We start from the raw sequence: 18438 nt of genomic DNA, 5'->3' as shown, positions 1-18438 counted from the left end.
GGCCAGTCTCTGCCATTCCCAAGGTTTCCCTGACCCGGAATATCCTGGTTGGAACTCTGTTAAATCTTGAATTGTTCACCCTACCCTCCCTCCAGCAGGACAGATTTCGTCGTGAACGACCCAAACGCACCGCCCCGGCCCAACTTGTGGCTTGCAGCCGGGGCGGGGCCAGCAGGAAAGCGGAACCGCGGCGCGCACACCCCGCTCGGACCTCTCCCTCCCTGCCCGGGCCACGTGTGCGCGCGCCGGATCCGGGGGGCGGGGCCAGCAGCGCAGGACCCGCCCCTCCCTTCGCGAGACGCCGCGGCCCTGCGGGCGGGGGCTCCGGTCCGGGCTTTGGCTGTGGCCCCGGTGTAGTAGCGGGGGCGGCGGCCGGGGGCAGCGCGGCTCCTTCCCTTGTTGTGTGTGTCGGTGCCTCCTCGCCATCTTGTTGCAAAGCCCTTTCTTGTCGGCGGGACTCCCGGGGGCCGCGGGGCGGGAGGCATCGGAAGGGAGGTAGAGAGGGAGGGGAAGAAGGGAGGCAGTGCCGCCTTTTTTTTTTTTTTGCATCCCATTTTTTTAAATTTGCAATTTTATATTTTGCAAATATTTTGAGAGACATTGATTTTTCTCCCCGTGCTCCCCCGTTCTTCCCTGCGGAGTGCGCTGCGCCGCCCAGCCCTGTCGCCCCCCGGAGGTGATCCCTCCCTCCTGCCTGCCCGCCAGCCTGACCTGTGCCCGGCTCGCGGGCCGCAGCCTCGGCCCCGGCGCGCCCCCGGCAGCTCTCGGCGCGATGAGCATAGAGACGCTACTGGAGGCGGCCCGCTTCCTGGAATGGCAAGCGCAGCAACAACAGAGAGCACGTGGTGAGCGGCCGGGCTGGGCCCCTGGGGCACTGGGGAAGGGGAAGCGAGTGACCCCGGTCCCCGAACCCACGCGAAACCGCGGACAGGGCCCCCTCCCGGGCGGCCTGCGGAGCCTGGCAGCGCACGGCTCCCCGCGAGAGCCGCCGCCTGGGGAGGGGTGATGTGGGCAGTGAAATTAATTAATGAATTCATTAACATGCTGCGAGGGACCTGGCTCCTGCGGGCGCCACCCCGGCTGCGTGGCACCCCTGTGCCCCTTCTGTGGTGGGCTGCTTTTGCGTGGGCCAGCGGAGCCCTCGGTGGCACTGAGGATGTGTGAGCCGGGGGGTGGGGTGAGGAATGGTGTTGCGTGGGGGTGGCAGGCTCGCGTGTGCGTGCGTGTGTGCACGGGGGATGTGTGATGTGAGCCTCGGGAAGAGCAGATGAACGGACGTGTACACGGGCGTGTGTATAGCACACGAGTGGGCGTGTGTGTAACGGAGTGGGGGTGGGGACTACTCTACGCGGAGCAGCTCTTCGGCTTCCCTGGCCCCGTGGGGAGGGTGCGGGGGGCGCTCCCGGCAGATCTACGCGCCGCTTGGGGCGGAGGCGGCCTTTGCAGAATGAAATGACATCGCGTGTCTTATGATCCTGGCCAGCCCCGCCTGACCCCGCCTCCCAGAGCTGGGCTGGGCTGCGCGTCCGGGGTTTGGGTGAAAGCCGGGCTAATTGGGCGTTTGCGAAATGGCCCGCGGGTCGCTGGGGGTCAGCCCCCGGGCCCCCCTCGCTGCGCCCCGCTTTAGCCAGTGTGGAATGTGGCGTGTCTGCGCGTTCCAAACCCGCTCTCGCCTGGAATGTTGCGTGTGCCTGCGTTCCGAGCCCGTTGGTTACACCGGGTGGTGACGTGGACGGGCTCCGCCCCCGACCACGTGCACCGGGGACACTCCTGCTGGGGACGGCGCGGCCCGGCCCCTCCTCACCGCCTCGCGCTCGGCCGGGGGCGGGGCCTGGGCGGGGCTGGCAAGGGGCCTTGCGCTGGGTTGGGCCTGGGCCCGGGCCCCGGCCTCTGGGCACCTCCCAGGGAGAGCCTTTGCCCTGCGAGGGAGGAGCCGAGCTCACCTGTCGGCTCTGGCCCCTAACCTCCTGTGTTTGATCCCGAGGCAAGGGAAACCCTCAGAATCGCAGGGCGACGAGACATTTAGAGCTCACATTTTTCCACTGACCCCCAAAACGTTCCAACTATGCCCCCTGGCATCAGCCGGGGCCACGCTGGAATGAGCCAGGATGAGAAAGGGCAAACTTCGGCGCTCCCTCGAAAGGGAAGAGACTAATGACTCCTATCTTCACGCGCCCTGTTGGTGGTCCCTGGCTTCAGGGTGCTGCAGAGGGGCTGGCGGGAAAGACCTCCCTTTTCCAGGGTGCTGCCAGGGCCTCGGCTCTGGAACGGTGTGTGTGCAGGACCCGGGGACTCCTGTGCCCTCCCCGCCCCCCAGAATCCCCCGGCAGGGTTGGTTGTGTTGGAGAGTGCTTCGCCCTCCTTTCCTTTCTCTCTGCCTATTGTTGCTTCAATGATGAGTCATGCAGGAGGTAGTAGTGTGTTGTGTGCGCGCGCGCCGCCGTGTGCCGCCGCCGCGGCGGGCGGGGGTGGGGGAAGGGGGGAGCGGCAGCGGGCAAGGGGCGGGGGAGCTGCGGGGCCGGCGGCCTAGTCGGGGCGACCGGCCTCTCAAGGTCAAGAGTCACTGGAGATATGTGAGGCTCAGATGCCTGGGTTTTGCAGAAGTGATGGGCGGGGACATCGCCCACACTCCCCGGCTGTTGCCTTGATGGTCCAGAGCAGGGTCTGGCAGTGGAGAGTGCCCCTGGTGACCAAGAATGTCCTACGTTTGGGCACAGGGGTCAGGGGAAGACCGTGCACAAGGTTCGGAGAGATTAAGTCACCTGCTGCCGCCATCAACACGTTGCAGTTCGAGTACGCACTGTGTTTAGGCCGAGTTCAGCGGCCTGGTCACGACTTCTGTGTGCCGGTCAGAGGTCTTTGTAGATGAGTGGGTGCGGAAAGCTAGATCTACTCAAAAACTCATGTACGGGTGTCCGGAACCGATCCCAGCAGTTTCTCCTCCAGAATTCATTTTCTTCTCCCTCTTGAGGTTCTGTCCTCTGAGCTGGGGCAGGACGAATGGAAGGAAGGGCATGGCAGGTGAACCTGCTGACCAGAACGCTTTCCCGGGACCTAGGACCAGCTCTGGACAGGGATCCTCTTGTCCTTTCTCCCTTTCAACCGCAAGCATGGGTTTCTGACCTAGACCAGCCAGTTTGCTCACATGAGGACCCCGCAGATGTGTGTGCCTGTGAGAGAGAGGGGAAAGGGCAGAGCTATCCTGGTGCCCAGACGGAAGGCCTGGCCTGGTCATTTCTAGTGTTCATAGAGGTGGCTCAGATGCAACTCTTCTGCCTTGTTTCGAGGGAGTTGGTTGGAGTGTCCAGAGGCTCCTGACCAACTCTCCAAGGCTTACCCTGGGCCTGCCTTAGGCACCAAGCCTCCTGTTTAGCGTGCAGATGGGAGAATTCCTGTGGCTGCTGGGGCCCACCAGTGTGGACTCCTCCACCCCTAGCCCTGTGCCTGCAGAGCACCTGGGCCACAGTCACTTGGGAAGGTTGAAGGGAGCACGCTGGCTCTGCTCTTGACTGTGGGCGGAAGCCTTGGCCCCTGGGTCACTGCAGAGGGGCATGCTAAATTCTTTGGGGGCAGCCTCTGGGTGGAGCCCAGGGAAGCATGTGAGGGGGCGCACCCTGTCTGGTGGATGTGCAGAACATTCTTTTAAAGAGCCTAAGCGCAGGGTGCTCCTGAGGGAGCACCAGCCACCACCAGTTTGGTGGTTCTCCAGTGCACAGGGAGAGGGTTGCCGCTGGGTGGGAAGGGACAGGAAGCTCCGGTGGGCTGGATCTGGCCAGGGGCAGCTCCTCTTCCTCACCACCTGTGGAGCTTTTTCATGCTGCTCCAGGTGTAACTGGGTCCTTCCTGGCACCTGTGAGGTGTACCGGCGTGGTTCTGGGTGAGAGAGGGCAGGTGAGAAGGAGGTTGCTACCTCCCAGGTGAGCTTTGGGATTGCTTTAAAATATGGGGAATGGGGGTTGGCTTGCACTCTAGGGTCCCACATGTCCTTGTGACTCAGGGAGGGCCCTGATTGTTCCTCTGCCTATAAAGAGTGGAGTCCATGTCTCAAGGCCAATGAAAAGTTAGGTCTGTGTCAGCCAAAGGAATGGAGGCAGGGTCTGTGTTAGGCCCTGGGATCCAGAGCCTTGTCTTGGGGTAGGGGAAGGGGCTGGGGACAACTGAGGCTGTGCCCGACTGAGAAGGGCCCTGTCACTGGAACTCAGCAGGCTGCTTGGCCACTGCGGTCTGTGGGAAGCGGGAGCGCAGGGCTGGTTTTCTCCCGGGCGTAACCTAAGGCCTCCCCGCACTGGAGCAGGCCTGCACCGGCCTGGCATCGCCCCTTCCCGAAGGGCTAGGGAGATCTGGAAGAGGCCCGCTGGCTGGCCCAGCCCCTGAACTCCGGCTGCTGGGAAACCACTGAGGCTTCCCCTCCCAGGACGCTTCCCCCTCCGCTTCCTCCTCGGCCTCTTCCCTCTGCAGGAGGGCGGGGCTGGGAGCAGGCCTGGCTCACACTCCAGTTGTTGATTGGCCAAAGGGCCTGAGGCCTCAGGTTTTCTGGGGCGCCTGAGCCAGTAAGAGTGTGGGAGGTGGGTGCTCTCCTCCCCAGGGGGCCTTAGCCGACTCCAGTCCCCCACGCCACCCCTTGCCCGGGTGTTTGGGGCGTGTCCACGAGCCCGGGCTGTCTGCTGCGTTCGTCAGCGGAGCGGGGCGGGCGTCCGGGGTCAGAGGAGAGGGCTGCTTGTCCCGGCGGCTCCCTGGCCTGGAGTCTGCAGACTCCAAGGGCCTGGGCCAGCCCCGTAGCCAGGGAACCAGAATGGTGGCGCCTGGGAGAGGACGAGGCAAGCGGGAGATGGAGGTGCCTCCCCTTCCCCTGTTGGCAGCCAGCTCCTGAGTGGGCCTTGCCTTCCTGCTGGGCTTTCAGCAGGGATGCTGAGCGGGTGGTGGGGTGCACTGCCCTGCTCAGCCCCCATTGAAGAGCCCAGCCCCTTCTTGTTTGGGAGAAATGGTCGCTGCTGTACCTCCTCCTCCTCAACTGCCCTCTCTCACCCAGAACCAGGCAGGTGCACTTTCCCCGGTGCCTGGCTGGAGTGGTTGGGTATTTGTATTGTCTCAGGCTGAGCGGGGTGTCACTGAGGATGTCAGAGGATGCTTTAGGCCTGAAGGACAGGACATGCTGGCGCTGCTGCTGGTGGTGGGGATGTTGGGGATTTGGGGAAAATGAGTTATAACACGAGAAGGGTCAGAGAGGGACGAAGTGTGTTTGTTGAATGGTCCCTGAGGAAAACAGGCATTGGGACCTAGCCTCGGAGTCAAGAGTGCTGGGCTGTTTCCACATGTGTGAAATGAGGGTGATGTCCCTGTCCTGCCCATGATGTGACGTGGGGCTCTTGTGAGGATCCAGGGACTGTCAGCACTTCCTTGTGAGCACGGCAAGCGTCCTCCAGGGGTCAGGAGGCTTGCTGTGGGACCTGCAGCGAATCACTTTGCTCCCTGAGCTTCACTGACTTCATCTGTGCCATGCAGGCACTGCCTGCCCTCTAGAAAGTGCTTGGTAAACATTGTTAAAGGCCTTCCACGGAAGCTGGGATCTGTCAGCACACCCCCCCCTCTGGTGTGAAGTCTTGGGTGGCTGGGCCTCTGCCCGCCTCTCCCACCTCGGCCCTGTGGTCCCCTGACCCTCGCTGCCCTCACCCGCCTTCCTCCTCACCCTGCAGGCTGGCAGGTGGCCTGCAGCACCCTCTGACAGCTCTGCTCCACCTTTCCAGGGCCGCCTGTCCTGCCCGCAGCCCGGACTGTCAGCCCCCGTGACTGTCAGCCCCCGTGACTGTCCTACTATTCCCTGGTGGCGGGGAACAGGTCTGCTTGATTTGTTCACTGCTGTGCCCCCGGCACTTTCCCCCGTGCCTGGCTGGGCTGGTAGGCTATTTGTGGTGTCTCTCGCTGAGCAGGGGTGTCACTGAGTACTGACTGGGCTAGGGTCAGAGGACGAGTTAGGGCTGGAGTTCTGGGGCCCCGCTGAGACCCTCCCCCCCTTGTGTTCTCTCTGTGTAGAGGAGCAGGAGCGGCTTCGCTTGGAGCAGGAGCGAGAGCAGGAACAGAAGAAGGCCAATAGCCTGGCCAGGCTGGCACATACCCTTCCTGTGGAGGAACCCCGCATGGAGGCGCCACCCCTGCCTCTGTCTCCACCGGCTCCCCCGCCGGCACCCCCACCACCACTTGCCACCCCTGCCCCACTGACTGTCATCCCTATCCCTGTGGTGACCAACTCCCCTCAGCCTCTACCCCCACCCCCACCCTTGCCCGCGGCAGCCCAGCCTCTGCCCCTGGCGCCTCGTCAGCCGGCCCTGGTTGGCGCCCCCGGACTCAGCATTAAGGAGCCTGCCCCCCTGCCCAGCAGGCCGCAGGTGCCCACCCCTGCTCCCCTACTGCCGGACTCGAAGGCCACCATTCCACCCAATGGCAGCCCCAAGCCTTTGCAGCCCCTCCCCACGCCTGTCCTGACCATAGCGCCACACCCTGGAGTCCAGCCTCAGCTGGCCCCCCAGCAGCCGCCCCCACCCACGCTGGGGACCCTGAAGTTGGCACCAGCTGAAGAAGTCAAATCCAGTGAACAGAAGAAGAGGCCCGGGGGGTGAGTGGGGTGTGGCGGGGTCGGGCTGGTGGGGGATAGGAGAGGTGCCCATCCCCCGGGCTGTGTGCAAGACAAGGTGCCCTCCCCAGCTTAGAAGTGCCCCCTGTATTTGAACACGTCATCACTGTGCCCATGTCTATCCTGGGAAGGAATGTCCCATTGCCCCCCGTTCCCAGGCTTCTGTGTTTCCTAACGCAGTCCAAGGCTGAGGCTTATGGCATTCCCAGGCCTCTGGACAGAGTATGGGCCTCTTGGGTGAGGGCTGGGGTCAACCGGCTGCCTCTGAGTCCCAGGAGTCCTCCTGTCTCCCTCCTGGTGGGACGGAGGGTGACAGGAGTTGTGATTATGAGCACAGATGTGTCCTCCAGGGGGTGGGCGCAGCATGGCACAGGGCGAACGTCTCCCAGTCTGCTTTAAGACAGTGTTGGGGACAAACAGCCTGTGGCAATTTTGCGGGTGGCGGCGCTGGTCAGGAAGGCCGTCTAATCGAGTCCTCCTCCCTGAGCCTCCTATCTGTCTGGGTTTCAGGATCGGAACCAGAGAAGTCCACAACAAATTGGAGAAGAACAGGTGTGTGTGTGTGTGTGTGTGTGTGTGCGTGCGTGCGTGCGCGCGCGACCCGGGCCCCGGCGGCCCTCGGCCCCAGCTTCCCCGGTCCTGCCTCCCCCCGTCCCAGCCCCGCCCCAGGCACCGCTGACCGGCGCTCGCCCCTCTCTTCAGGAGGGCCCATCTGAAAGAGTGCTTTGAGACCCTGAAGCGGAACATCCCCAACGTGGATGACAAGAAGACGTCCAATCTGAGCGTGCTGCGGACGGCGCTGCGGTACATCCAGGTATGGGGCCCGGAGGCCGGCGTCGCGCAGCTTCCCCCGCCCTCCCTCCGCCGCCCCTCCCCCGGCCGCGCCCCGCCCCGCCCTCACGCCCCGGCGGCTCCCCCGCGCCTCCCTCCCACCTCCACGCGGGCGCTGAGCACATGGCCCGGCTGACGTCAGCGGGGCTCCCTGCCCGGGAGGGCGCGCGTGCGCAGAGGAGGGCGCGGCTCCCCTCCCGCGCCGCTCCCGAGCCCCTGCAGCCTCGGCGTCCCCGGGGCCGTGAGGCGCGCGCCGTGACGCCTGGTGCGAGTCCCGATGGCGGCTCCCGTTCGCGCGTGTTGGTGCAGCCGCGGGAGGGAAGGGCATGGGGCGGCCCGGCGCCTCCTCCCCGGCCGCAGAGCCTGGGCGGGAGCCCAGATTCCGCCCGAATGTCTGTAGCTATCTGCGGGGAGGGTTGGGCGTGGTCCCCGTCCACGCTGCGGCGCGGGCCGAGCCCCGTTTACCCCAAAGGAGGAAGGTCTTTTCGGAGCGCGCGTGGAGGCGCCACGGCCCGAGTGTGGGGTTACGCCTGGGGCGGGGAAAACTCCGATTTGACTGGGCGGCAAACAGCCCCGGGGCCGCCGAGCCTGAAACACGTCACGCTTTCCTTCCTCCTGGGCTAGGAAGAGGGGGTGTCTCTTTTTTCGGGGCCCTCCCGGCTGCGCGTCCCCTCCCTTTGGGCGTCGCTCCCTCTGCAGTGCTCGGGCCGGGGGCGCCGCCACGTCAGGCGGTTGCCATGGCGGCCTGAGCTTCGGTTTCCCTGGAAACCGGCGGGGCTTCCGCGCGCCGGGCCGGAGGCTGTGGGGGATGGGCCGGCAGCCGCGGAGACGCGGAGCCGTAGGGGATGGAGGGACGTGGGGCTCCCAGCCCGCGTTGGGGGGGGGGTGGGCGGCGAGCCGGGACTCTCCCTGTCCATCCTCTGAGGAAGCTCCGGGGGCGGCGCGGCGTCACGGGCCCCGTGGGAGGGGTGGCGAGGAGGGTCCAGCGCGCGAGGAGCCAGCCGCTGGGCGCCGCCCCTCCCCCGGCCTCGACCGCGGGGTCACAGCCCTGAGGTAACCGGAGCCTGACTTGCTGAGGGAGGGGCTGAGGCGCTGCTTCGCGACTGCTCCAGGGGGGCAGCTCTCTCCCAGCCTCCCGCCAACGCGCCCTTCCGCCCGCCCTCCCGGCCAGGGGGCGGGGCTGGCGCGCCTCCAGGCCGCTTCCGGGCAGCCGGGAGGGGCGGGGCCGGGCTCGCGGATTGGCTGCAGCGGGCGGGGGCGGTGCTCTCGAGTCGCGGAGGGCGGTGCAGCCGGCGAGGGTGACGCAGGGAAGCCGCGGCCGCGTGGGTGCGCGCGTGCTTCGGGGTGGGGCCTCGGGGCGCCGAGCGGGAGAGGGCTCCGGAGGCCGCGGCAGGCCGGTGGCTTATTTCTGGAATCGTTTTGCAGAACCTGGGCTTGGTTGTAGTTTAGTCGCAGGGCTGGCTGAGGGTGTTCATGCAGACACTTCGCTGCACTCCCGACATTTGCTTAGCTATTATTTTTGAGAAATAGGAAGGACGGCATGGCGAGTTCCTCTTTGCAGATACTACTTGCAGAGGGCGCCTTGCGTAACGTGTGGGTTTGGAAATGAATCGGAAGAAGACTCAGCAGCAGCCGCAGAAGGAAGCTCTTGAGGAGCTGGGCCCGGTGAAGTAGGAGCCGGGGTAGGCCTCACTCAGGCTGTGCAGAAGGGACACCCATTCTGGTGCTGGTCACAGAAGCAGGAACCTCAAAGGCCTGTCTACAAACCATTTATTCATTTATTCATTGAGGTGCTTTTAGCGAAGTCTCTGCTTCTGGGCGAATGGTGGCGAGCAAGTAAAAAAGCCTGGGTCTTGTGGCAGATGACGAACAAGTCATTCTACAGAAGGCGGCCGTATGGGCATAATAGGGACCGGGCGGCGGGATCTGTTCTGGGGAGGGAGGATAGCTGTTCCTGAGGAAAGGACCTTTGAGCTGAGACCTGCAGGATAAGTCTGGGTGGCACGGAGCAAAGTGGAGGCCAAGAGCCCAGGGGCAGCCCAGTTTCTCCAGCAGGAGGGAACAGGATGCTTTTTGGAAATAAAAGTGAGGCACGGTGGCTTGCACCTGAGTCCCAGCTACGCTACTCGGGAGGCCAAGGCAGTAAGAGCGCTTGAGCCCAGGGAGTTCGAGGACAGCCTGGGCCACAGAGTGCGACCTCCGTCTCTAAGAACAAACACAAACATGGTCAGGAGGCTGTCACTCAGAGACAGGCAGAATCAAGAGCTGGTCCTGGAGAGACCAGTGGGGCTGTGTAGACTGGGAGCTTTGGTTGTTTGCTGAGAGCAGGAAGCTGCAGGAAGAAGGCAGTGGTCCCCAGCCAGAATACGGAGTGGCTTGGAGGTGGTCAAAGGTTTGAAGACAGCCACAGTAAAGTGGACAGAGACAAGAAAAATAGGTACCAAACCGTGCATCCAGGTAGTCACAGAAAGGAAATGGGTTTAGATTGAAGCAATGTGGGTTAAAGTTAGACCCTGGGGAAACCTTGCAGGGGTCTGTAGGCCTGTGAAGAACTGGACTAGGTGAGAAGAAGAAGCTTTTGACCCATGTCACTCCCTGGCCCAGAACTATATCCTACCCACAGGTGGGTTGAGTTCAGGACTGCTGCTTCCAGCCCCCAGCAGCAAGGTTCAAGTGAGAGCTGACTCACCTAGGGCCCCTTGTTAGAGCCTCAGAGCCAGGTGAAAAGCCACACACAGGCTGGGCGCGATGGCTCACGCCTGTAATCCCAGCACTTTGGGAGGCCGAGGCAGGTGGATCACCTGAGGTCAGGAGTTCAAGACCATCCTGGCCAACATGGCAAAATCCCGTCTCTACTAAAAATACAAAAATTAGTCCTGCCTGGTGGCACATGCCTGTAGTCCCAGCTACTCGGGAGGCTGAGGCAGGAGAATCGCTTGAACCCGGGAGGCGGAGGTTGCAGTGAGCCGAGATCATGCCACTGCACTCCAGCCTGGGTGACAGAGCGGGACTCTGTCTCCAAAAAAAGAAAAGCCACACAGGTGTGTGTGTAGGGGCAAGGGAGTTTCCTACTGTCTTCCTAGCAGAAAATGGGGAGAAACTGTTAAAGCCAGAATGAGGGAGGGCTGTGTGTGGCCTGGGACTGGCAACAGAAGTGTCAAGCTGCCAGGTTTCAGGCCAGTACAGAGCACGGTTCTACCTGGGTTATGTGTTGCCGGCACTAATGGTTAGAGACATCTGTCACTGGTGAGGGCAGAAATGTATGCAGGAGTGGGTGTGGGAAGCTGGCCTCACTGGTGGGTGGGGTTGGAGACTTTGCCAGGCCTGGTCAGGAAAAGCTGCTACAAAACAGCAAAACTGCTCCTAGTGCAGCGATCCCCAACCTTTTTGGCAACAGGGAGTATTTTCCTGGAAGACCATTTTTCCATGGAGAGGGAGGGCGGGGCTGGTTTCGGGATGGAAGTGTTCCATCTCCCATCATCAGGCATTAGTCAAACTCTCCTAAGGAGCACACAAAACCTACACTCCTGGTGTGCACAGTTCACAGGAGGGCTTCTGCTTCTGTGAGAACCAAATGTCCCACTGATGTGACAGGATCAGAGCGCCATCGCTGCTCACTTCCTGCATGCGGCCCTGTTCCTGACAGGCCACGGACCAGTACCTGGGGTTTGGGGTCCCCCGCCCTAGGGGATGAAAGAAGGGAAACCTGGGTCTAATGGGTTACTGTGATTCTCCCTGCGATGCAGGGAAGAGACAGGACAGAGGTGGGAAGGAACATGGTCACCAGGAGTCGGGACAGCACTCTTCCAGGTCCTTCCCCTGGGGCTGAGTAAGCACCCTGCGCGTAGCTCTTCCTGGCCGCCTGTGGGCTCTGGGATCTAAACGGACTATGCAGCCATTCTCACTTTCATTCACAGCTCGGACAGGGACAGTGTGTGTTGAGGCGGAAAGACAAAACATGTATGTGAGAGACTTTGTATGAGCCGGTTCCTGATGAAGTCCTATCTTTCAGCCTCGTATTTACTGCCCAGGCAGATGGGGCTCTTTTCTTCACCCTCCCGCTTTTTTTTTTTGAGACAGAAAACTTAATAGAAATTTTGTTTGCAGTTCTTACATTCTCAGTGTGAGCCAATCTGTGACCCACCGCCCCACCCAGAAGTGGCCCAGTCCTGGTGCAGGGTAGGAAGGGAAGGGTGGAGTGAGAAGAGCCCCATTTTTCCTCAGTGCCAGGGGGCTGGAGACACCACCCCCTTCTCCTGCCTCTGGGCTCCAGGAAGGAGTGCAGATGGACTCTCAGGCCTATGGTTCCTCCTCCACACCACTGTCCCCCAGGTTGGAGGGGAGTGAGAGATACAGGGAGAGAAGGGGACAGAGGCAAGAAAAGGTGTTGATCAAGAAAGGCAAGAACCAGGGGTGAGGGCTGACAGAGAATCAAAGATAAAACACTAGTAGGCCGGGCGCGGTGGCTCATGCCTGTAATCCCAGCACTTTCGGAAGCCAAGGCGGGCAGATCACCTGAGGTCGGGAATTCGAGACCAGCCTGACCAACATGGAGAAACCCTGTCTCTACTACAAATATAAAATTAGCCGGGTGTGGTGGCACATGCCTGTAATCCCAGCTGCTCAGGAGGCTGAGGCAGGAGAATCGCTTGAACCTGGGAGGCAGAGATTGCAGTGAGCCAAGATCATGCCACTGCACTCCAGCCTGGGCAACAAGAGCGAAACTCTGTTGGAAAAAAACAAACAGTAAAAAAAAAAAATTGAGGGAGAGTGGGGGAGGGGAATATAACCAAAACCCACCCCAAATCCAAACCAGCCTCGAAAAAAACGGTGCGGTGCCTGGAAGGGCTTGGAGGCAGGAGGATGTGGCAGACAGAAGGACAGTGGGGGAGGTAGGGGCTGAGATGTGGTCTTGGAGCACGGGCAGATAAGATCTAGGGGGTAAAGGGAGGAGGATCTGTGTGTGATGAGGGCAGACGGGGTTCAGAGAGGAAAACCAAGGCGGGCTGGTGAGTTGTGTGTGTGAAAAGCCTGCGGGCCCTGCACCTGGACATGACCAGTAAGCCTGGGAAGCTAGGAGCTCGAGAGCAGGCCAAGAAAGGGACTCGGGAGGCAGCAAGGACACGTGTCGGCGTTGCCTGGTGGACACATTGGTCATGACGTGCCTGGGCGAAAAGCTGCCAGCAGGGAGGTCTGTGAGACTTGAAAGGGTGGGATTGATGAAGTGTCGGGTTGGAGCACGGGAAAGACTGAGTGTGGAGGGGAGCTGGGTCATGGGACGCAACAGCCATTTCTCATGGATCGGTTTAGCCCAAGTACAGGGGGCACGTTCCTAGGCTTGGGGGTTGTTCAGCCCAGGGAGTCTGGAGGGGAGTGGGCAGGGTGATGGGGAGCAGCATGTAAATGGAGCCTCGTCGAGAAGCGTCACAGGCGGGCACAGTGGAGAGTCGCCTAGGGGGTCGGGGAGCAGGTGCAGACCAGCAGCCAGGAGGGAGGCGAGTCCTGGAGATGAGATGGGGCGAGGGCGTGTCACTGCCTAGTGGCTCATCGTGCAAGGATGTTGATGTTACCAGGGAGACAAGTGAACGGTGAGGTGGAAGCGCAGGATCAGGTTCCTTAGAGGGTAGCTCGCGGCAGAAGTGTGCAAAGTGAAGAGGCTGCTGGAGGAGGGATGGGGCGAGAGGCGGAGAAGCCCCTGAGGATGAATTGTGGAGGACAGGGAAGGACCTGCACACCTGGTTGAGCTTGCTTCAGTGGTGCCTGTCCCAAGAGCCCACACTCCTTGGGACGCTGGGCCTCACTGGGCAGGGGCATGGACCACAACAGGTGCGGTCTCCAGCAGCCCCCGTCAGGCTGGGCCCGCTGGTTGCCACGGACTTGCCTCTGTGGGCCAGCTGATAGGGAGAGGTTTGTGGGGGCTTTGGGCCCCAAGGCTGCTGCTCAGGGTGTCCTGCTGTCCCTTACTCTGTGTGCCAGTCCCTGAAGAGGAAGGAGAAGGAATATGAGCATGAAATGGAGCGGCTGGCACGTGAGAAGATTGCCACGCAGCAGCGGCTGGCAGAGCTCAAGCACGAGCTGAGCCAGTGGATGGACGTACTGGAGATTGACCGCGTGCTGCGGCAGACGGGCCAGCCCGAGGATGACCAGGCCTCCACCTCCACCGCCTCTGGTGAGCCCCAGCCCCCACGCTGGCCCCCCAGCCCTCAGATGTTACACCTCAAATTCCAGCCTCCCTGGCCAGGCTCTTTCTTGCCTGCTAGAAAAGATGGCCCTGGCCCCAGCCCCATCACATTCCCACGCCCCCACGAGCATCTACGCCTCCAGCCACTTGCTTCCCCGCCCTTCTGACCTGCTCCCTGCCCCATGTTCCCCACAGAGGGTGAGGACAACATAGACGAGGATATGGAGGAGGACCGGGCGGGCCTGGGCCCACCTAAGCTGAGCCATCGTCCCCAGCCGGAGCTGCTGAAGTCCACCCTGCCACCCCCCAGCACCACCCCTGCGCCTCTGCCTCCACACCCACACCCTCACCCCCACTCCGTGGCCCTACCTCCTGCCCACCTCCCCGTGCAGCAGCAGCAGCCACAGCAGAAGACCCCTCTGCCAGCCCCTCCTCCCCCACCGGCTGCCCCTGCCCAGACACTGGTGCCAGCTCCAGCCCATCTGGTGGCGACGGCTGGGGGTGGCTCCACGGTCATCGCCCACACAGCCACCACTCACGCTTCAGTCATCCAGACTGTGAACCACGTTCTGCAGGGGCCAGGCGGCAAGCACATCGCCCACATCGCCCCCTCGGCCCCCAGCCCTGCGGTGCAACTGGCGCCTGCCACACCCCCCATTGGGCACATCACTGTGCACCCTGCCACCCTCAACCATGTGGCCCACCTGGGCTCCCAGCTGCCCTTGTACCCGCAGCCCGTGGCAGTGAGCCACATCGCCCACACCCTCTCGCACCAGCAAGTCAACGGCACGGCCGGCCTGGGGCCCCCGGCTACTGTCATGGCAAAGCCGGCCGTGGGGGCTCAGGTGGTGCACCACCCCCAGCTGGTGGGCCAGACCGTGCTCAACCCTGTGACCATGGTCACCATGCCCTCCTTCCCAGTCAGCACACTCAAGCTGGCTTGAGGACGAGGCCACTCAGAGGCCCCCAGTGGGGACAGGGAGGGGGACCTGTCCCCCACTCTCTCACCCACCAGCTCCACACATTCCAGCCAGGCCCAGGCCAGCCCCCCCACCCACCCCCAGGCCTCCTAGGGGAAGGGGGTGCAAAGACTCTGAGCCAAGGGAGGGAAGGGCCACCCTGCTGCACTAGGACTTGGTAAGATGACTCTGAGAAAATGCGAGACTCTGATGGAATGTGCCACCTGTCCGGCCCAGTGCCAGCTCCAGTGCCGCTCCTGCTTCCCCTCCCTACCCTCGGAAATCAGTGCGATGTGGACGTCACGCTCCCTGACTTCTCCCCCGCCCTGCCCCGCCTTCGTGTGCTGCTGCTGCTATTGCTGTCTGGTGAGGTGGCCCAGGCCCCCGGCTTTCCTCCGGAGCCTCATGTTCTCTTCCCAGGCCTTTGGAGGGGAAATGGGGAAAGCAGAACTGAAGCCACTTGGCCCAGAAAGCTGCGGATTGGGGTGATAAGGGGCCTTGCTCTGAGCACAGGTGACAGATCATAGGAAGTGGCTGGTCTGGAGTCCCACCCGGACAGGTGGGGCCTCAGCCTGGGGCTCTCTGACCCGGTTGCAGTCACTGTGATTCGTTACCGTAGATACTACTTAAAATGATTCTCTACCAACAATAAACCAAACCCAGCCACTGCCAAGCTTCCTGTGCCCTCACCCCAATCCCTGCCACTGGGCTCTGGACCTCAGGAGGGCAGGCTGAGGTGGGGAAGGAGGGACTTGGCTGTCCTTCCCCTTCCCCGTCCCCTGCAGCCTGGGTCTGGATGGGAGGAGAGCCACTGGGCCCCTGTCCCCAGTCCCCAGTCCCCAGCCCTGGGCTTGGCTCTTGGCTTCCAGAAGGCAGCAAAGAGGGGCGCTGTCCTGCGTTCAGCCCCTGATCTCTGACCTCTGCTGAGTGCTGGGCACTGCTCCAAGGGACAGGTGGGCCTGGCGGCCTGTGGGTTTGGGTGCCTCCTGCAGTTTGGGAGACATGGACCAGCATCTGGTCTTGTTTCCAGGAGCATAGAAGCCACATCGTTGAGACATCAGGAAGGTAAAAACCCAGCGGCTTAGCCAAGCCCTAAGCCTGTCCCCAGACCAACCCTGGGACCTATACAGAACAGAGGGCCAGAGCTAGGGCTGCTGCTTCTGCTCCAGCCCCTTTGCCTCTGTCCTCCCATCCCCTCAACACCCTGCTTCTCCCGGGGACGCTTTTGAGTGGGCCCTGCCCGGGGAGCTGCAGAGCAGCAGCACCTTTCTCTGAGAAGAGGTCCTTGGTTGGGTCAAGGACAGGGCTGAGCGTGGAAGGGGGAGGAGTCAGGGGCTCTGTGTTAGGATGCGGCTTTCTCTGCCTCTGGGCAGCCTGCTTTGGCCTTTCCTTGTATGTGGGTGTTTATTACAAGTGGCTTTGTGTCAGACACGCTCGGCTCCCCACCTGGACACACACTCACCAGTGGCCTTTCAGTGTAGCGGGAGGAAGCCGGTGTCCCTGGATGTGAAGCTCACACTGATGGGCTGGGGCAGGGGCCTGGGCCGGCGAGGGGGCCGGGGGGAGGGGACAGAGCTGAGGATTTCCTGGAGTGCCCTGCAGGCACAGAGGAGGTCAGCAAAGGTCTTGAATAGATTTTCTCTGGAAATAAAGAATCCTTAGATGCCTAAAAATTCCCTTCCTGTTCCCTCCTGGTCCTGGACACCTCCCAGGGGACTGTTCCTTATTTCTCTCTCCTGGTGTGGGTAAAGGGACAGTTACAAACCAGGTCACCATCCTCAGAGGCTGAGCCCTGTACCCACCCCAGCACAGCCACCTCCGCCAGACCCCGTGGCTCTGGGAGAGCCAGCTTTGCTATTCCCATTGTGACAGCGATGGCAGGCCTGACCCACGGGGCAGTTAGAGCAGCCTCGTGGAGCTCGCCCCTCCCCTCAGCCTGCCCACCTCTCCCTGCATCCTGAGGCCAGTGGCCCCCGGGCCTGCACAGATACCTCATCATCCACCCGCTGCCCCTCCCCGTCCCTGTCCCCCAGCATCGGGGGCCTGCAAATCTAGTGCCGAATGACTATGTCCAGATTGGTGACGATGGGTGTTGCTGTTTTTCTTGTCGTTTGTGAACGCTGTGATGCTGTGTGCCCAAGTGGGCAGTCACCACCCAGCCCTTCCTTGGGCGTCTCCCCCAGAGTGCTGTCGGGACCACATCTGTCCTCACCCTGTGGGACCGCCTGGCCCTCCCTCCCTAGCCCTTCCAGCCTGGGACACACACACACACACACACACACACACACGCACGCACACGCACACATCTTACCTCTCATGCGTGTTTTACCTTTTGATGTTCAGAGTGGCTCACTGGCTGGGAGTCCTTACCTCGGGGAGAGGGGGAGGTTGGTTCCTTGGGGGGCCAAAGAAGGCAGGGAATGCCTGGAGGGTAACTGGGGGGCCACCATGACCCCTTCTCTCTCCAGAAACAGCTGCTTCTCCCCCCATCCCAGGGTCCCACCCCCAACCCCCAGAGGTGGCCCTTGTTTACAGTGAGGACTCGGCCACTGTGTCTCTGTTTCCTGAAATATAAACTGTAGCGACCCCAGACTGTAGAGATTTTTATGTGTTTGGATACATCTGCTGTGTGGAAAAAAAAAAAAACTACAAAAACCCTAATTTTGTACATACTGTATTTTTACTATTGAACTGTATTCTAGTGGCTGTTCATGCTCCAAGACTTTAGTTACCGAGACATGAATACTATCCATGTAATAAGCACTTGCCTGGAATAAAATATAAAACTGAAATAAACCTGCACTGAAACCTGAGATGGAGCTGCCAGCCTGCAGCATCTGGGTCATTTTATTGCAAAAGGAGGCTGAGGCCTGTAGGGAAGCATGTGGCAGGAGCGGTGAGATCACCTGTCTCGACCCTGTCTGCCCAGCATAGTCCTCAAGCGGCTCTGACCCGGTGCCTCCGCCGCTCTGAAAATGGCAGTTCTGGTCGGTCTGAAACTTTTGCAAAGCTTCGTATTTCCTCAGACCATTTTACAAGCATTATCTTGTTTCATCTTTCAACAGCCAAGTGAAGTAAATAAGCCAGACTTAGCCCCATTTTGGCAGATAAGGAAACAGGATTGAGGTGGCCCAGTGACTTGTTGAGGCCACACGGCTAGCTGGAGACTTCGTTGGAGCTGCAGTCAGACCTCTGAACTGGGTACAGAGTTCTTACCCAGCATCTGCCACCCTTGTGGCACCTGGGGCCAGTCCTAGACTCGGATCCAATAAAAAAGGTACAGGGGAGTTGCCCCAGGGATTGGGCACAGAGGGTGAGAGCTTCCTGAGGGGCTGCTCTGGGGGTGCAGTTACAACAGGTCAGCCGGGGAGTCCATAAAGCTGTCCTCTAAGGGAAAGGAACAAGGGGAAGAAGAGGCTGGAGGTCAGGGGCAAAGAGCCGTGTTCTCAGCTGGGCTGGAAGCCCCTTGTCCCTGTGGCTGTGTCTTCTCTCCCTGGGCAGGCTGTCATGGGAGGAGGTGGTGTGGGAAGTGAGGTCAGGGAGCCACTAGCTAGGCCTTGCTGGAGACCAGGCTGGGCAAGGGGGCCCAGCTTCTCATTTCCACCCTGACAGTACCTGACTGACTCCCAGTCCCCACAGGGGAGACTGACTCTGCGTCTCTTCCTGAGGTGGGGTGGGTAGGGGTTATCCTTGAGGAAGGGAGTGCTGTCTTGGGTCCTGTTTTCTGAAAGAGAAGAGTTGACTTCAAAAAGTTCAGGCCGGGCACGGTGGCACACGCCTGTAATCCCAGCACTTCGGGAGGCTTAGGTGGGCAGATCACCTGAGGTCTGGAGTTCGAG

At 61.5% G+C, this 18438-nt stretch overlaps 1 protein-coding gene across 6 annotated transcripts, besides 20 other annotated features; it reads left to right on the top strand.

Annotated features, from left to right (window-relative positions):
- Nucleotides 150-459: a silencer, noted in NCBI's record as "silent region_8002". NCBI's record gives its function as "represses an Ori minimal core promoter by ATAC-STARR-seq in GM12878 lymphoblastoid cells {active_cell/tissue: GM12878}" and the evidence as "EXISTENCE:reporter gene assay evidence [ECO:0000049][PMID:35858748]".
- MNT (MAX network transcriptional repressor) lies at nt 425-17412 on the top strand. 6 transcript variants are annotated; one of them, NM_020310.3, is made up of 6 exons: nt 425-845; nt 6031-6610; nt 7139-7180; nt 7331-7442; nt 13436-13628; nt 13836-17412. In NM_020310.3, exons 1-6 carry the CDS (start codon nt 773-775, stop codon nt 14582-14584), a joined length of 1749 nt encoding a protein of 582 aa, NP_064706.1. In that variant the 5' UTR covers nt 425-772; the 3' UTR covers nt 14585-17412. The 6 variants fall into 6 exon arrangements, with proteins under 6 accessions (NP_064706.1, XP_047292048.1, XP_011522170.1 ...); XM_047436092.1 differs by lacking the exon at nt 425-845 and adding an exon at nt 1883-2270; XM_011523868.3 differs by lacking the exon at nt 425-845 and adding an exon at nt 2493-2793.
- Nucleotides 650-729: a silencer, noted in NCBI's record as "silent region_8001". NCBI's record gives its function as "represses an Ori minimal core promoter by ATAC-STARR-seq in GM12878 lymphoblastoid cells {active_cell/tissue: GM12878}" and the evidence as "EXISTENCE:reporter gene assay evidence [ECO:0000049][PMID:35858748]".
- Nucleotides 880-939: a silencer, noted in NCBI's record as "silent region_8000". NCBI's record gives its function as "represses an Ori minimal core promoter by ATAC-STARR-seq in GM12878 lymphoblastoid cells {active_cell/tissue: GM12878}" and the evidence as "EXISTENCE:reporter gene assay evidence [ECO:0000049][PMID:35858748]".
- Nucleotides 1170-1740: an enhancer, noted in NCBI's record as "H3K27ac hESC enhancer chr17:2303039-2303609 (GRCh37/hg19 assembly coordinates)". NCBI's record gives its function as "activates a minimal SCP1, AML or CMV promoter by ChIP-STARR-seq in naive H9 embryonic stem cells {active_cell/tissue: H9 hESC(naive)}" and the evidence as "EXISTENCE:reporter gene assay evidence [ECO:0000049][PMID:30033119]".
- Nucleotides 1170-2310: a biological region, named in NCBI's record as "hESC enhancers GRCh37_chr17:2302469-2303038 and GRCh37_chr17:2303039-2303609".
- Nucleotides 1460-1949: a silencer, noted in NCBI's record as "silent region_7999". NCBI's record gives its function as "represses an Ori minimal core promoter by ATAC-STARR-seq in GM12878 lymphoblastoid cells {active_cell/tissue: GM12878}" and the evidence as "EXISTENCE:reporter gene assay evidence [ECO:0000049][PMID:35858748]".
- Nucleotides 1741-2310: an enhancer, noted in NCBI's record as "H3K27ac-H3K4me1 hESC enhancer chr17:2302469-2303038 (GRCh37/hg19 assembly coordinates)". NCBI's record gives its function as "activates a minimal SCP1, AML or CMV promoter by ChIP-STARR-seq in primed H9 embryonic stem cells {active_cell/tissue: H9 hESC(primed)}" and the evidence as "EXISTENCE:reporter gene assay evidence [ECO:0000049][PMID:30033119]".
- Nucleotides 2311-2882: an enhancer, noted in NCBI's record as "H3K27ac-H3K4me1 hESC enhancer chr17:2301897-2302468 (GRCh37/hg19 assembly coordinates)". NCBI's record gives its function as "activates a minimal SCP1, AML or CMV promoter by ChIP-STARR-seq in primed H9 embryonic stem cells {active_cell/tissue: H9 hESC(primed)}" and the evidence as "EXISTENCE:reporter gene assay evidence [ECO:0000049][PMID:30033119]".
- Nucleotides 2359-2503: an enhancer, noted in NCBI's record as "145 bp enhancer 161/162 fragment used in the MPRA reporter construct; PK_construct_4803". NCBI's record gives its function as "activates an SV40 promoter by MPRA in HepG2 cells {active_cell/tissue: HepG2}" and the evidence as "EXISTENCE:reporter gene assay evidence [ECO:0000049][PMID:23512712]".
- Nucleotides 2423-2438: a transcriptional cis regulatory region, noted in NCBI's record as "ZFP161 motif; enhancer activity is reduced when this motif is scrambled". NCBI's record gives its function as "necessary for full MPRA enhancer 161/162 activity {active_cell/tissue: HepG2}" and the evidence as "EXISTENCE:site-directed mutagenesis evidence [ECO:0005528][PMID:23512712]".
- Nucleotides 7229-7318: a silencer, noted in NCBI's record as "silent region_7998". NCBI's record gives its function as "represses an Ori minimal core promoter by ATAC-STARR-seq in GM12878 lymphoblastoid cells {active_cell/tissue: GM12878}" and the evidence as "EXISTENCE:reporter gene assay evidence [ECO:0000049][PMID:35858748]".
- Nucleotides 7469-7878: a silencer, noted in NCBI's record as "silent region_7997". NCBI's record gives its function as "represses an Ori minimal core promoter by ATAC-STARR-seq in GM12878 lymphoblastoid cells {active_cell/tissue: GM12878}" and the evidence as "EXISTENCE:reporter gene assay evidence [ECO:0000049][PMID:35858748]".
- Nucleotides 7469-8074: a biological region, named in NCBI's record as "H3K27ac hESC enhancer GRCh37_chr17:2296705-2297271".
- Nucleotides 7508-8074: an enhancer, noted in NCBI's record as "H3K27ac hESC enhancer chr17:2296705-2297271 (GRCh37/hg19 assembly coordinates)". NCBI's record gives its function as "activates a minimal SCP1, AML or CMV promoter by ChIP-STARR-seq in primed H9 embryonic stem cells {active_cell/tissue: H9 hESC(primed)}" and the evidence as "EXISTENCE:reporter gene assay evidence [ECO:0000049][PMID:30033119]".
- Nucleotides 8075-8642: an enhancer, noted in NCBI's record as "H3K27ac hESC enhancer chr17:2296137-2296704 (GRCh37/hg19 assembly coordinates)". NCBI's record gives its function as "activates a minimal SCP1, AML or CMV promoter by ChIP-STARR-seq in primed H9 embryonic stem cells {active_cell/tissue: H9 hESC(primed)}" and the evidence as "EXISTENCE:reporter gene assay evidence [ECO:0000049][PMID:30033119]".
- Nucleotides 8075-8888: a biological region, named in NCBI's record as "H3K27ac hESC enhancer GRCh37_chr17:2296137-2296704".
- Nucleotides 8089-8368: a silencer, noted in NCBI's record as "silent region_7996". NCBI's record gives its function as "represses an Ori minimal core promoter by ATAC-STARR-seq in GM12878 lymphoblastoid cells {active_cell/tissue: GM12878}" and the evidence as "EXISTENCE:reporter gene assay evidence [ECO:0000049][PMID:35858748]".
- Nucleotides 8399-8888: a silencer, noted in NCBI's record as "silent region_7995". NCBI's record gives its function as "represses an Ori minimal core promoter by ATAC-STARR-seq in GM12878 lymphoblastoid cells {active_cell/tissue: GM12878}" and the evidence as "EXISTENCE:reporter gene assay evidence [ECO:0000049][PMID:35858748]".
- Nucleotides 12649-13150: an enhancer, noted in NCBI's record as "H3K4me1 hESC enhancer chr17:2291629-2292130 (GRCh37/hg19 assembly coordinates)". NCBI's record gives its function as "activates a minimal SCP1, AML or CMV promoter by ChIP-STARR-seq in naive H9 embryonic stem cells {active_cell/tissue: H9 hESC(naive)}" and the evidence as "EXISTENCE:reporter gene assay evidence [ECO:0000049][PMID:30033119]".
- Nucleotides 14678-15502: an enhancer, noted in NCBI's record as "H3K4me1 hESC enhancer chr17:2289277-2290101 (GRCh37/hg19 assembly coordinates)". NCBI's record gives its function as "activates a minimal SCP1, AML or CMV promoter by ChIP-STARR-seq in primed H9 embryonic stem cells {active_cell/tissue: H9 hESC(primed)}" and the evidence as "EXISTENCE:reporter gene assay evidence [ECO:0000049][PMID:30033119]".

The sequence above is a fragment of the Homo sapiens genome, chromosome 17 (assembly GCF_000001405.40).
Source record: "Homo sapiens chromosome 17, GRCh38.p14 Primary Assembly".
Classification (NCBI taxonomy): domain Eukaryota; kingdom Metazoa; phylum Chordata; class Mammalia; order Primates; family Hominidae; genus Homo; species Homo sapiens.
This window is presented reverse-complemented; position numbering and strand designations above follow the sequence as displayed.